The 15,564-nt window shown below is 39.3% G+C and overlaps 1 long non-coding RNA gene across 1 annotated transcript; it reads right to left on the reverse strand.

The window, feature by feature from the left end:
- Window positions 1-695: 695 nt before the first annotated feature.
- Window positions 696-15,564, reverse strand: LOC105370112 (uncharacterized). The gene is made up of 4 exons (XR_001749786.1): window positions 15,140-15,564; window positions 3,951-4,088; window positions 3,136-3,214; window positions 696-929 (listed from the first exon to the last, which is right to left on the reverse strand). It is a non-coding gene; the product is annotated as an uncharacterized LOC105370112 (long non-coding RNA).

The following is a 15,564-nucleotide window of genomic DNA, read 5'->3' on the forward strand; positions in this document are numbered from 1 at the left end:
ATGAACACACCGAAAGAAGCAAGCAAGATACTAAAAGTGACTAAATAATTTGTGAAATATATAATGGCATATGACATTGAAATCACATGATGCAAATAATTAATCAATAGCTTAGAGAAAATACCCTCAGTAAGAACTAGAGGAATCCAAAATGACCTCATAGAGGATGAGGAGCTGGGAAGAGCTTGAAGAAGAGAAAGAGTTTTACTAGGAGCACAGACATGGAAAGGCCGCCTAGCCAGGAGAATCTTAAAAGTCAATGTAGTACAGTAGATGGAAACCCCCTACGAAGCTGCTTTTTTGCCAGCTCTAGCTTGATCTAATCAGCATTGAAGTTGAAAGACATATTCTACCAAAAATTGCAATTCTGGAGAGACCTATAATAAATACATATATGAATATATATTAATATATATGAATACATATCACAGGAATATATACGATACATAGCAGAAGATTATATATATCTCATATCTGAGGGGTTTATATATGTAAGTATCATATCAATGGGACTCAAATTCTATCTATGAACACAGATGCTCCAAGACATAAATTCCTCACCCTTGAAGCTTGCTCTTCCCAAAAATCCCCTCAGAGAAAATGGCATCTTTCTTCAGATCCATAAATTTCACTCTCAGTGGCTAAAATCATTCCACAGTCAGCCAATCAAGAAAGCTCGAGGAAGCAGTTTCTCCCACTGTGGGTGAGTCCGGGCCCCTGGTCTGGGGTTCCTCTTCCTGTCTGTCGCTGGGCGGCTCTTTAGTTCTCCGGTGGTGCCTTTCCATCAGGAGCGCCAAGGTGCTGCCTCCACCATCCTCTTAGAAGCTCTCCTTAGCCAAAACCCACTTTTTCCTATCATTTCCTAGTATGGCTTTCCAGATGACTTCTGCTGGGTTCCTTCCGTGGCTCAGTTCTCTGCTGTCAAAGTGCTGTGGGGCCAGAAACCGCTTCATTCAAGCCCTCTGTCTTACTAGTGATTTTCAACTAATAGTGATCTTACTTTCTGCTAGTGAATTACCAAAGCTTCCCCCTAAAACACGCTGTTTCTATTTTTATCTCATTTAGAAAGAGGCACTCATAAAAGCAAACAGCATTCATGGAGCACTTAATGTATGCCAGAGACTAGGTATCTACATGCATTCTCTAATTCAGTGCTCACAACAGCCATTTTACAAAGGAGGAAAATTTAGGTGTAAAGACATTAACAAATTACTTAAGGCTAAAAGAGGCAGAGTCTCAACTTCAGCCTAGGCCTGCCTAATTCTGATGATCAATAACCAATTTCCAGCCTCTCACCATCGAGTGTTTGCAAATTCTCTGAATTTTGAGTTTAGTCTTCCATCTTCTAAAGACACTTCTCACCAACTGATACATGTACCTTAGTCTTTTGTTATTATTTTTTGCTGGATTTATAGCTAAAATAATCCATTATTTTTCTTATCTTAAAATTATTCTTGAGTCTTTTCCTTTTCTTCCTATCACCTCATTTATCCAGTGCCATTTACAGCAAATTTCTTTGAAAAAATTATTAATATGCATTATCTGTCATTCTTCTCATTTTATTTTCTCTTGAAATTATTCTAATTGAACATTTGCCTTTACCACTCCGCTACTCTTCAATGACTTCCATGAAGCTAAATCCAGTGGCCAATTCCGGGCTATAATCCCACTGACTTTTTAGCCTAACTCACACTGGTTGACGACTCCCTGATCCAAAAGACACCACGTTCACATAGCTCTAGGATATGGCCCTGAGTACTCTCTCCTAATTTTCCTTCCATTTCACTAGCTATTTCTTTCACAGCACTTGCCTCTCTCTCCTCATGTCCCCAAACTCTAAATATTGGCGTTCACCAGTGACCTCTGGCTTAGGCTTTCAGCCTCTTCTCTCTCTAACTTCAGTCCATCACTTATTGATCCAATCCAGTGTCATGGCTTAAAACATCCATATTTATATCTCTGCCTCTCCTTTCAATTCCTGACTCATCTATCTAACTACTTACTTGACACTTCTGCATTGACTCAATGTCCAAAAACCAAACTCCTCATCTGTCCCCTTAAACTTGCTTTTCCAGACATCCATTTGTTTGGGGGCCAAAATATGCAATTCTCCTTAGCTCTGCTCTTTTTCTCTTACCCTACGTCCAACCCATCACCAGACTGCACCAACTGTAAAAAGTAGCCTTAACTGCTGTCTCCTCCACAATGACCACCACTTCTGCCCAAGCCACTGTCCCCTCCCACCTGGACCATTGCAATAAACGTCTGTCACCCTACTCCTATCGTTGCACTCTTTTCCCTACAAGGCAGTCTGAATGCCATTTTTAAAAATTAAGCTAGATTATACCAGCTTATCAGTATCTGTATACATCAGCTAGAGGTGCCATAACAAAATACCACAGCCTAGGTGGCTTAAACAAGTAAAACGTTGCCTCACAGTTCTGAAGGCTGAAAGTCCAATGTCAAGGTGCCAGCAGGTTCAGTTTCTCTCGAGGCCTGTCTCCTTAGCTTGCAGGTGGCCACCTTCTCCCTGTGTCCTCACATGGTCTCCTCTGAGCACGTGAATCCCTGTGATCTCTCACATGTCTCAATCTCTTCTAATAAGGGCTCCAGTCCCATTGGAATAGGGCTCCAATCATAGAACCTCATTTAACTTTAATTATCTCTCCAAAGGCTTGACCTCCAAATGCATTCACTCTGGGGGCTAGAGCTTCCACATACAAATTTGGAAGGAATGTAATCCAGTCCATGAGGTATCATTCCATGGTTTTCCATCTCACTCAGAAACAAGCCAATGTCTTTTCAGTGGCTAGCAAAGTGTTGCGTGATTGAGACGTCCACGTCTCCACTCACTTCCTGGATACTGCAGTCAAGCAAACTGACCTCTTGCTGTTCCTGGAACTAACAGGAATTCTTCTATATTTGTTATTCTCTCTCCTCAGAAATTGTCTTTCCCTCACTCTCACCCACCCCTCAGGTCTTTACTCAAATGCCGCTTCTCCACGGAACCTTCCTACCTAATTTTCAGTTGTAATTCCTGGCACCATCCTCACACCATAACACCTTTTCCTGTTTTATTTTCCAGCAAGACACCTGTCACCCTCTCTCTCAATATTGACATGACATATATTTTACCTGTGTATGTGTTTATTGTCTGTCGCTGAGCTTCATGGTGGCTGAGGTTTTTGTTTTGTTCAGTGCTGTTCGCCATCATCTGAAACAGCAACAAATATTCTATCAAGGTGACAGAAATTCATGACTATTTTCAAGGGTATACTGCTGATAGGAATTATTAACTATCTCTGAAATTTATTTGGTCTTGGCCAATAAGTGACCTCCACTTTCCCCTACTTATTAATAAACTTTTACTTGTTCTTAGACATCTCTCTGGCTGCTGACTTTGCACAACTACTCAAAACCATTATTATTTCTTGCTTCTTTGCTTGTATACTTAGAACATGCTGAAATCAGCACATACAAATTCATAAATTCAGACCTCAAGGGCTTTTCTATGAAAGTCCGTGGGTTATTGAGGTGTTAAAATAAACAAAAGTACTGTAAACAGAAAATTTAAAGATGAGAATGTTTATCAAATGCCTACCATGCACCAGGCAATTGATAAACAATTTCATTGAACCTTTACAACAAGCCAATATGTTATTAGGGTTGTTTATATTAAGTCTATTATCTCTTCTTACACTCAAGAGTCTATGTTATTCCTTTAATTTAATAAAATTACATTTTTTCAGAGTGTGCAATGTTAATTTACAACCCTCAAAAATTTTATATAACAAGCAGTTTATCGTCCCAAGTAAGCTACCATTCTCTTGTCTGTACACATATCTGCCTTTTCTCACATAGGTACCCTAGGAATCAATCTTGGTCTGAGAGACTGCATATTAACAGGAGGCCAGGAAGGCAAGAACAGGGGTGTGCCATCATCTAGTCACCTCTGGAGCAGAGCTTTGCAAAGAGCATTCCTCAGGAAGATTCCTCAGAGGTCCTCTACAATTCTCCAAAACCAGCATAATGTAGTTAGTAAGAATATGGATTCCTGAAGTCATATCCCAGCTCTCTCACTCACTTCTCTGTAAAATGAGGACAATGATGATGATAATGATGATGATTAGTACTCCTAGAGGTATGATGAGGATAAAATAAAATAATACATGAAAACAATTTTGAATTGCGCTCAGCACCTGTAAAAGCATTCAAAGGAAGTGATTATGCTACATGTTACTTTTTTATTTGTATAAAAGTACCACAAATGTATTTTATCCAGATGATAAACATTTAGTTGATTTCCAATTTTTCACTTTAATAAACAATGTCAAGCTAAACATTCTCATGCATGTTTCCATTACTCCAGGGCATATGCAAAGAACAGCAATTGCTGAGTGTGAACAAATGTTCATCTTCATTTTGTCTGGATATTCCAAACTTGTTCTCTAACGTGTCTGGACCAAGTTCTGTTTCCCCCAGCAGTGTATGACACCCTCACCATCATTTCATATTGTCAGACTTTATAAATGTACCTGTCCAACATGTGTGAAATGACATCATTAGGTATTCCATCTTCATTTTTCTGATTATTGTGAAGTTGAGCATATTTTCATTTTGTTGGCCCTTTTTATTTCCTTTTCTGCCAATTGCTTATTCACTATCATTTCTGATGGTGTATTTTATTGGTTAAGGCAATGCATAAAGCCAGCCTAGGTTCAAGGGGAAAAAAATAGGGCCCATGTCTCAGTGAGTGGAGCAGCAGGCACATGAAGAGGGAAGGCGGGAATTGATGGTGGCCACCGTTGGAGACAACCTACGACAATCTATTGTGTCCATTTGTCAGTTGTACTGTTTGCCTTTTTGTAGTTATTTTGGCTAATTTTAGAGGCATTATTCACATCTTCCAGATAATAATTATTTGTAATTTACGTATATAATAAATTTACATATATAATAAATTTACGTATATAATAATGCATAGCATTATTTACATTTTATGGTATCTTTTGACTCATAGAAATGTTCATGGTAAATGTAGTCAAATTCATTGCCATTGTCTTCTATGAATTGTAATTTTATGTCTCATTTAAGAAAATCTTTGCTATCACAAAGTCATCAAGCTTATTCGGCTGTTTTCCTCAAAATACTTTAAATTTTTGTATCTACATTTGGATCACAGACCGTTTGGTATTTATTTTAGTACAGAATATGAGGTAAGAATAGAATCTATTTTAACTTGTTTTCATGTAACAAGTCAACTGCCTCAGCACAATCTGTTGAAGAGTCTAGATTTCTTCACTGCTGTGTTATGTTCTTCCATCCTATATTTTCGTATACTTTTAGATCTATTTATGGTCTCCCTAGCTATAACACAATACTACTGTTAAAACAAGTGTTAATATTTGATTTGATGAACCTCATTTCTTCTTCTTCAATTTGTCTTGGTTTTCCATGGCTCTTTACATTGTAAGTACAATCAGTTTGTCAAGTTCCACTTATTGGTGCCTTTATTGCTATTGTAATGAATTTTAAATCTTAATTATATTGTAAGCAATCCAAATAAGAATCTTGCTTGGCATTTTTCATTTTTGTAGAGAAATTCACAAACTGATTCTAAAATTAATATAAAACCATCTAGAATGCAGAAATCTAGTATATTCAATGCAATATTTAAAAAGAAAAATAAAGTGGGCAGACTTGTACTATTTGGTTCCAAGACTTAACAATAAATCTGTAGTAATCAAGATATTATGTGATACTAGCAGAGGATTGACAAGTAGATCAATGGAACAGAAAAGAGAGCCCAGAAATAAACCCATGTCTCTACTGACTTTTGATTTCTAAGAAAGTCACCCAAGCAATGCAATAGGGAGAAGAAAACAAGCAGAGCTGGGAAAACCGAATGTCCATATGGAGAAAAAAATGAGTCATGACACCTACCTCAAGCCAAACAAACAAACTCAAAATGGACTATCGACTGAAAAATAAAGCTAAAACAGTATAGTTTCTAAAAGAAAATAGGATGTCTTCATGACATAGGGGCAGGCAAAGCATTCTTTAGTAGAAGACCAAAATTAAAAACCATAAAATACTTTCTCAAAATGAAAAATAAATCTGCTCAAATATAGAAACCTTAAAAACTCAAATAAGAAAGCTACAGATTGGGAGGAAATATTCGTTTATCTGACAAAGATGAGCTATATAAAGAGTTTCTTCAATTCAGTAATAAAAAGACAAACAGCCTAAAAAATGTGGAAAAGACTTGAATAGATACTTCACAAAGCATCATATATAAATGACCAATAAGCACATGAAAAATTGCTGGGCATCATTAGTCATCAGAGAAATGCAAATGAAACTATAATGAGATATAGCTAAATACCCATTAGACTGCCTAAAATTTAAAAAGACTGACAACACTAAATATTGGTGAGGATGAGAAGAATCGGAACTCTCATGCATTGTAAGCAGGAATGTAAAATAGTAAAACTCTGGAAAAAAATATTGGGTAGTTTCTTATAAAATTAAACACACATACCATGGCTTAGCAATTCTCCTAGAATCGTGTTATATTAATTCAATGAAATATTATTCAATAAAAAAGGACAAGCTTCTAATATACAAACAGCACGAAAGAATCTCAAATGCCTTATGCTGGGTGACAGAAGGCTTAGTCAAAACAACGGACACTGTATGGATTCCATTTATATAAACTGCTAAAATAAGAAAACTAATCCTTAATATAAAAACTCAGAACAGTGGTTGCCTATGAGGGGTAGGCACACAGGGAGTTTTCTGGGGGTGGTGGTAATAGTCCACATCTGAACAGGGATTTGAATATTATCCAAATGTCAAAACTCATAGAACTGTTTCAAAGCAATTGATGTATAGCAAGCCTTCACTTTTACTGGAAAAATGATCTTCCTGAGATTGGTCTTTCTTTTGTTGGGGAAATTTCCCCTAGGGGGAAATGAGGACACAGAGAACTGTATAATGCACGGGGAATCAATGCAGAAAAGGAAGATCACAAGCTTTGATATGAAACAAAGCTGGACCCAGCCACGCATTAACTCTGTGACTTAAGGCAAGGTCACTGACCTTGCTGAAACTAATCTTATTCAAAATGAAGGATAAGAATTCTGAAATGAGCATTTCCTGGGAGAATTAGTATAAATTTATATTATGTTTTTGAGTCCCTTTTTTAGAGCTAGTGTAACCCCTCTGAGGCATCTAGTTTTTTGCAGGGGTTCAAGTCCAGCTCCCAATTTGGTGCAAGATGAACATGATGAGTTCCAAGCGATAAAATAAATACAATCTCCACCGTTAAATATAACGTCACAAAACGCACAACACTAAAGACAAAAACAAAGTTCAAAATGCAGTAAGTAAAGGAAACAGAGATCATCTACAAATAAATTATAACTTGTAATTATACTCCTCATTAATAGTAGATGTCAAAAAGGAGGAAAATAATTTTCAAAATGCTTAGGGAAGACAAGAGCCAACTTAGCATTATTAAACTCAGGTAATAATTATCCAGTTGTGAAACCAAGTGAAGACATTTTCAGATAAATCAAATACAAAGAGAATTTACCATTCATAGAACTTCCCAGAAAGAAATACCAAAGGCTGTTCTTCAACAAGAAGTGAATGGAACCCAGAAGAAAGGCTTGGAATGCAAAGCAACTGATTGATCTGTTTATGAGTTTAAATAATCACTGACTATCAATAACAACAACTACAGGGTATTTTTTAAAGTGAATATGGAATAATTGAGAAAAGGGTATTGGCAGGAGTAATTGTGACCTAAAATACTTTAGAGTTCTTGTTTTTTGCGAAAGAAGGGTAGATATTTTGATTAGATTTAGACTCTATTCAGTAAACATTTTGAAAATTGGAAAGTAAATGCTAAAATAATGGAAACAGACATGTTATACACAAAGGAAACACAATTATTCCAACATAAATCAATGTAAGTGGAAAACGCAAAATAGTGAAAATAAATTTAAGTGTATTAATAATCAGTGTATAGAAATAGATTCAATTTTCCAGTAAAGGTCGGGTTTTTGGTTTTCTTTCTGAAGATCACCCAGGCTGGAGTGCAGTGGCGAGATCTCGGCTCACTGCAAGCTCTGCCTCCTGGGTTCACGCCATTCTCCTGCCTCAGCCTCCCGAGTAGCTGGGACTACAGGCGCCCGGCTAATTTTTTGTATTTTTAGTAGAGACGGGGTTTCATCGTTTTAGCCAGGATGGTCTCAATCTCCTGACCTCGTGATCCACCCACCTTGGCCTCCCAAAGTGCTGGGATTACTGGCGTGAGCCACCGTGCCCGGCAGGGGTTTATTTATTTATTTATTTATTTATTTATTTAATTTATTTTTAATCTGTTGATATTTACAAAGATGACCTGAAACATTGTGAAAGAGAAAGACAAGGGGCCAATAAAAGTTGAAAATATTCAACAAGCGAATACCATCACCAACAAAACCATTGTATCAATGTTAATTTCAAATAACATAAAATTTGAGATGAAAATATTATTAGCTATAAGAAGATTTATAACAGAGGAAAATTTTACCAAAAAGATATAGCAATCCTGACCCTACTAAAACCTATCAATAAAGGATAAAGAAAAAAGAAACTGAACATATGTAATTCTTCAGTGAAAATGGACTTAACAAGCAAAAATGAATACTACTAAGGATATAGATTTGAATGATGCAATTATATTTTTAACATGATAGTCTTATATAGAGAGCCCTGAAACCACAATTTCTAAGGAAACATAAAAGTCACAAAGATTGACTCAGAACTAGCCACAAAATAATTCCCCACAAATATTGAGCACTTATTATGCAAACCTCAGTACCTAACCCAAAACTAATAAAATTAAAGTTCCAATAACCAAAAAAATTATAAAAATATAGATTTAGGAAATTTTAATTCTTGTTCAAACAATTAATAATGTACTTCCAAAAACCAATAAGTTCATGAAAATATTATGATTCGAATGGAAAAAATATTAGGACCTGAATGCCCAAGATTAAAAAAAATTAATAAACTCAATATATCAAATCCTAGGCAATGGTAGTAAAATATAATCAACTTAAATAAAAAAATTTAAGATGCAAAAATTGAAAATTCGTGAGCTAAGTTTTCAAATCAAGTAGGTAAAGAAAAATAAGGGCAAAGAAAATAGAATCAGTAACAACATGGCTCCTAAATCCAAATGTTACTTTATTGTTTAGCCTGTGCAGAAGGCACCACCACATGAAAACAAACAAACAAACAAACAAAAACTTTCTTACACTTCTGTTTCTTTTCTTTTTTTTTTTTTTTGAGATGGAGTCTCGCTCTGTCGCCCAGGCTGGAGTGCAGTGGCACAATCTCAGTTCACTGCAAGCTGTGCCTCCCGGGTTCACGCCATTCTCCTCCCTCAGCCTCCCGAGTAGCTGGGACTACAGGCGCCTGCTACCACGCCCGGCTTATTTTTTGTATTTTTAGTAGAGACAGAGTTTCGCCGTGTTAGCCAGGATCCTGACCTCGTGATCCACCCGCCTCGGCCTCCCAAAGTGTTGGGATTACGGGCATGAGCCACCAGCACCTGGCCTACACTTCTGTTTCTAATCTTGCATGCAAAATTACGACCACCACTGGGTCCATGGGATAGGGATTTGAATAGAAAGTGCTAAGGAATTTAACAAACAGTTTACTAATTTCAGGTTGGCCTTCTGATCCAATTTTGACTTAATCATTTTTTTCTCCTCTTCCTGGTCATTTTCAATTCATTCTCCAAGATCTATTTCAAAAGGCAAATCTCTATTATAACATTATTTCTTTTTTTTTTTTTTTTTTTTTTTGAGACAGAGTCTCGCTCTCCCACCCAGGCTGGAGTTCAGTGGTGCGATCTCGCCTCCCGGGCTCACACCATTCTCCTGCCTCAGCCTCCCAAGTAGCTGGGACTACAGGCGCCTGCCACCACGCCCAGCTAATGTTTTGTATTTTTAGTAGAGACGGGGTTTCACGGTTTTAGCCAGGATGGTGTCCATCTCCTGATCTCGTCATCTGCACGCCTTGGCCTCCCAAAGTGCTGGGATTACAGGCGTGAGCCACCACGCCCGGCCAATTTTTTTGTATTTTTAGTACAGTCGGGGTTTCGCCATGTTAGCCAGGATGGTCTCGATCTCCTGACCTCGTGATCAACCCGCCTCGGCCTCCCAAAATGCTGGGATTACAGGCGTGAGCCACCGTACCCAGCCAATAACATTATTTCTTAGTCATTTCTTTCTGCAGTCTACCAAGATTCTTAAACTCACTAGTGTATTATATTTACTTGTTTATAACTGGGCCCACCTCCAGCCTGCTGAGCAAATGCAAATTAAGAGTAGTAGCCATGTTTCTGCTAACTTCTAAAGTAAGTAAACAAATTAAAATTTTTCTATTTTCAGCCTTCCTAACCTAACCTCATGAAGCAATTACATTGAGAATTCCACAGCAGGCACTTTACAATGTAAAGCAAACCCAGTTTATTAAATGTAATGGGCAAAGTGAAAAAGAAGGCAGTAGAGCCAGCCCTGATTCCCCCCAAGAGCAGAATAGCCCAGAGTTGGAGTGAGCTGCCTTCAGAAGGATGTTGTCAGCCCTGGATGTAATTGTGAGGACACCTGCCAGGATGGTGAGAGTTCACTGCTGCTAGCACCACAACTTTAATTATTTGTATTAAAGGAAAAGTTAAGTCTGAAGAGTCACCTGTACAAATCGTTTTAGCTTACTTAACAAGACCAAGTTGAGTAATACCATAAATGTTTCATGCCCATGTCCCAGGGAACAGCACAAAATTATCTCTAATTCACCATCCATTCCAAACCTAACATATCTGAAACCGACCCAATAGTACCATATATAGTTCTTTTGATAAGCATATAAATTGATCCTTCTGGTTTTAAAGCTTGAAACTTGTATTTGTTTTATCTGAGCTCGTTTCTAAGCAAATGAAATTTAGGCCTCTCACAAAAAGTATCAAAGAACTGAAACTCACCAGATCATCACATCCAGACAATGAGAGTCTAGGCCCCTCATTCACCATGATTGCTTTCTTGCTCCTCCCTAGTTCCGGTTTCTTACACATTGTTACATTTTTTTCGCTGCTATACGAACCCCTAATTTTAGTCAGAGACATGATTAGAGAGACTGAGCCCCCATGTCCTTGGCTGCAGCAACCGAAGAAAGGCTTCTTCCTTGGCAGTACTCTTCATCTCTGTTATTGGCTTTCTGTGCTTTGAGCAGCAGGACCTAGTCCCAACCCCTGGAGTTTCACTAACATATTCAGTAACACAATCTAATTATATTCAACATGCTTCTCACTTTACTTTTTCTCCGTGTATGAAATCCTAACTATATTCTTTTAAAAACTCCTCATTGGAAATCTGACACTACCTTTCATTTGCTTATTCTCCAAAGTGAGTGGTTAAACTCAGGTCTGAGAAATTTCCCACATGGAATGTTTTTGTTTTTTCTCTTCTGGCCAGCACATTTTTACAACATGTAGCAGTAGGTACCGCTTGACTATCTGCTTAATTGTATTTAATTGACAACAAATATAAAACCAAGGTTAAAATGCTTTCAAAGTATGTGAAGTAGATTTTTTGATTTGTTTTGCTTTTGTTTTAATAGAGATAGGGGTCTCACTTTGTTGCCCAGGCTGGTGTGAAAGTCCTGGCCTCAAGTGATCATCCTGCCTCAGCCTCCTAAATTGCTGGGATTACAGGTGTGAGCCACATGTCTGGGCAATTTGCTTTAAATCACTCAAATTGAAGCCAATAAAGTGAACAGTAAAACCATATTACACCTATTTTCTCCACATAAAAAATATAATTATTCTGTTACGGATTATTTTAAAGCATTTAAAAATTTTTTTTCAAAAACCACAAAAGAGCACTGAGTAAAACTTTATAACATAAATTAAGAATTTGAAAAAGTTCAGAGTTTATTTCATCATTAAAGGTAATAAAACTTTATAGTTTCAATATGAAATTATGTCAGTTTTGAAAACTATTCATGACAATTCATGGTGAAGAAGTTTTAGGTTCACTGAATTGGGCCAGATGTGTTGGCTTACGCCTGTAATCCCAGCACTTTGGGAGGCCGAGGCAGGCAGATAACAAAGTCAGGAGTTCAAGACCAGCCTGATCAACCTGGTGAAACCCCGTCTCTACTAAAAATACAAAAATTAGCCAGGCATGGTGGCACACACCTGCAATCCCAGCTACTCGGGAGGCTGAGGCAGGAGAAACACCGGAACCCAGGAAATGGAGGTTGCAGTGAGCCGAGATAGTGCCACCGCACTCCTTCCTGGGTGACAGAGCAAGACTCTGTCTCCAAAAAAAAAAAGTTTTAGGTTAACTGAATATACATGTTATATATTGCAGAAAGACATAGCTTAAAACCCCATAACCAAGAAACTTCGTGACTTCTAATTCAAGTTATTTCATGTTACGAATTCATATGTATGTAAAAGTGATTCTTATATACAAAGACTGAAATAATAACTTACAACTATTTGTCTCCTACCATATTTACTGCCAGATTCTCAGTATATTTAATAACATTTTGTATGCATTCATAAAATATTTTTGAATGTCTATATGTTGTAGTGTGCTAAGCCATATGACCTCCTAAATTTCCAGCCCAGTTTAGAGGCTTCAAAGCCTTTAATCCACTTTTCAAAAGTGACTGTTATAATGCAAAGATATCTGAAAGAGAATCTGACACAGTGGATATGAAGTTACTTTTAAAAAAAGGAATTTTTTGAAGAATTTTATGAAGGTTACAGACCCTGTCCAGATAATGCCCACTTTCACAAAATTTTCTTTATAAGTTTAAAAATCTCAAAGACTGCTGAAGTCTAGTCTTTAGAATCTTATTCGAGTTCAATTCTCTTATTGGGAACCATAGCTGAGAGAGATGCAGGACTCAACATTTATAGTGGCAGAGCTAGGCTGACAAAATGTCAGGCTTTTTTGTCTGAGTTGAATACATTCTTTGCCCTGTACTTCGCTCAAACTCAAAAGAAGTGACCAGAAACATTAAATATTTGTCACAATTCAAAGTTCAAATAAACTCTAAATAGGATAGAAACTGTAGGTGTAATAACTATCTTATATTTAGTAAGAATAAATACCTCCTCCTGCTGAGGAGGTGACTTAGAGCCTTCCTTTTCTAGATAGAGGGGAAGCAGTGTGGATTCTTTAGTGTGTTCTGATAGCCATGTGTCACTACACACTTGTTCTTTGTGTCTTCACATCTCCTCCTGTTGCATTTCAAAGCATTTTCATAGTGAGAGGTGACAGCGTGCTGGCAGTCCTCAGAGCCCTCGCTTGCTCTCGGCACCTCCCCTGCCTGGGCTCCCACTTTGGCGGCATTTGAGGAGCCCTTCAGCCCCCCACTGCACTGTGGGAGCCACTTTCTGGCCAAGGCTGGAGCCCACTCCTTCAGCTTGCAGGGAGGTGTGGAGGGAGAAGCGCGAGCGGGAACTGGGGCTGCGGGCGGCGCTTGCGGGCCAGCTGGAGTTCCGGGTGGGCGTGGGCTTGGCGGGCCCCGCACTCGGAGCAGCCAGCCCGACCTGCTGGCACCGAGCAATGAGGGACTTAGCACCCAGGCCAGCGGCTGTGGAGGGTGTACTGGGTCCCCCAGCAGTGCCAGCCCACCGGCGCTGCGCTCCATTTCTCACTGAGCCTTAGCTGCCTTCCCGTGGGGCAGGGCTCGAGACCTGCAGCCCGCCATGCCTGAGCCTCCCACCCCTCCATGGGCTCCTGTGCAGCCCGAGCCTCCCTGACGAGCACCACCCCCTGCTCCACGGCGCCCAGTCCCATCGACCACCCAAGGGCTGAAGAATGTGAGCACAGGGCGCGGGACTGGCAGGCAGCTCCACCTGCAGCCCCAGTGCGGGATCCACTGGGTGAAGCCAGCTGGGCTCCTGAGTCTGGTGGGGACGTGGAGAGTCTTTATATATAGCTCAGGGATTGTAAATACACCAATCAGCACCCTGTGTTTAGCTCAAGGTTTGTGAGTGCACCAATCGACACTCTGTATCTAGCTGCTCTGGTGAGGACGTGGAGAACCTTTATGTCTAGCTCAGGCATTGTAAATACACCAATCGGCACTCTATATCTAGCTCAAGGTTTGTAAACACACCAATCAGCACCCTGTGTTTAGCTCAAGGTTTGTGAGTGCACCAGTTGACACTCTGTATCTAGCTGCTCTGGTGAGGACGTGGAGAACCTTTATGTCTAGCTCAGGGATTGTAAATACACCAATCGGCACTCTGTATCTAGCTCAAGGTTTGTAAACACACCAATCAGCACCCTGTGTTTAGCTCAAGGTTTGTGAATGCACCAATCGACACTCTGTATCTAGATGCTCTGGTGGGGCCTTGGAGAACCTGTGTGTCCAAATTCTGTATCTAACTAATCTGATGGGGACTTGGAGAACCTTTGTATCTAGCTCAGGGATTGTAAACGCACCAATCAGCGCCCTGACAAAACAGGCCACTCAGCTCTACCAATCAGCAGGATGTGGGTGGGGCCAGATAAGAGAATAAAAGCAGGCTGCCCGAGCCAGCATTGGCAACCCAATCGGGTCCACTTCTGCATTGTGGAAGCTTTGTTCTTTTGCTTTTTGCAATAAATTTTGCTACTGTTAATGCTTTGGGTCCACGCTGCTTTTATGAGCAGTAACACTCACCGCGAAGATGTGCAGCTTCACTCCTGAGCCCAGTAAGATCACGAGCCCACCAGGAGAAAAGAACAACTCCAGACGTACTACCTTGAGAGCTGTAACACTCACCGTGAAAGTCTGCAGCTTCACTCCTGAGCCAGCGAGACCACGAACCCACCAGAAAGAAGAAACTCCGAACACATCTGAACATCAGAAGAGGCAGACTCCAGACGCGCCACCTTAAGAGCTGTTAACACTCAGCGCGAGGGTCCGCGGCTTCATTCTTGAAGTCAGTGAGACAAAGAACCCACCAATTCCAGACCCAATAGTATGTGGTTTTGCCTAATAGAGCATTCTCATAGCAAAAAAAAGGAAGTGATAGCCTATGCACAAGTAGCAAAAATAAATCCCATACACTTACCTTGAATTGTCAATACAAGATGATTGTTCAAAGGAAGGAGTAGGAGTAGGGGTATTCTGCAGCAGATAAGTATTAATCTACAAAGCCAGACTTCTGTTAAGGTTTTCACTGCTTAATCTATATAGTTAAGTGAAAACGTAAAGATGATATAAAAGTCTATTATAATTATAAAAGGATCAAGTATTACCATAAGTTTCTAAAACCATCAGTAAGACGGATCATGCTAAGATGAAGGCTTTTGCTCAGAGGAGTAGCTTAATGTGTTTGTAGAGGAAAGTTCTAGGGTAGAAGTTATGTTCCTTCCTGGCTCAGAGCCTGGATGCTGACTGGAGCTGAATTTCTGGAGAAAGAGGAACCCATTCTACGCAAGAGAGGAAGAAGTATTTGAAACTCTAGAGAGAAATTTGGGAGAGGGGAGGACTGAG

The sequence above is a fragment of the Homo sapiens genome, chromosome 13 (assembly GCF_000001405.40).
Source record: "Homo sapiens chromosome 13, GRCh38.p14 Primary Assembly".
In the NCBI taxonomy this organism is placed as follows: domain Eukaryota; kingdom Metazoa; phylum Chordata; class Mammalia; order Primates; family Hominidae; genus Homo; species Homo sapiens.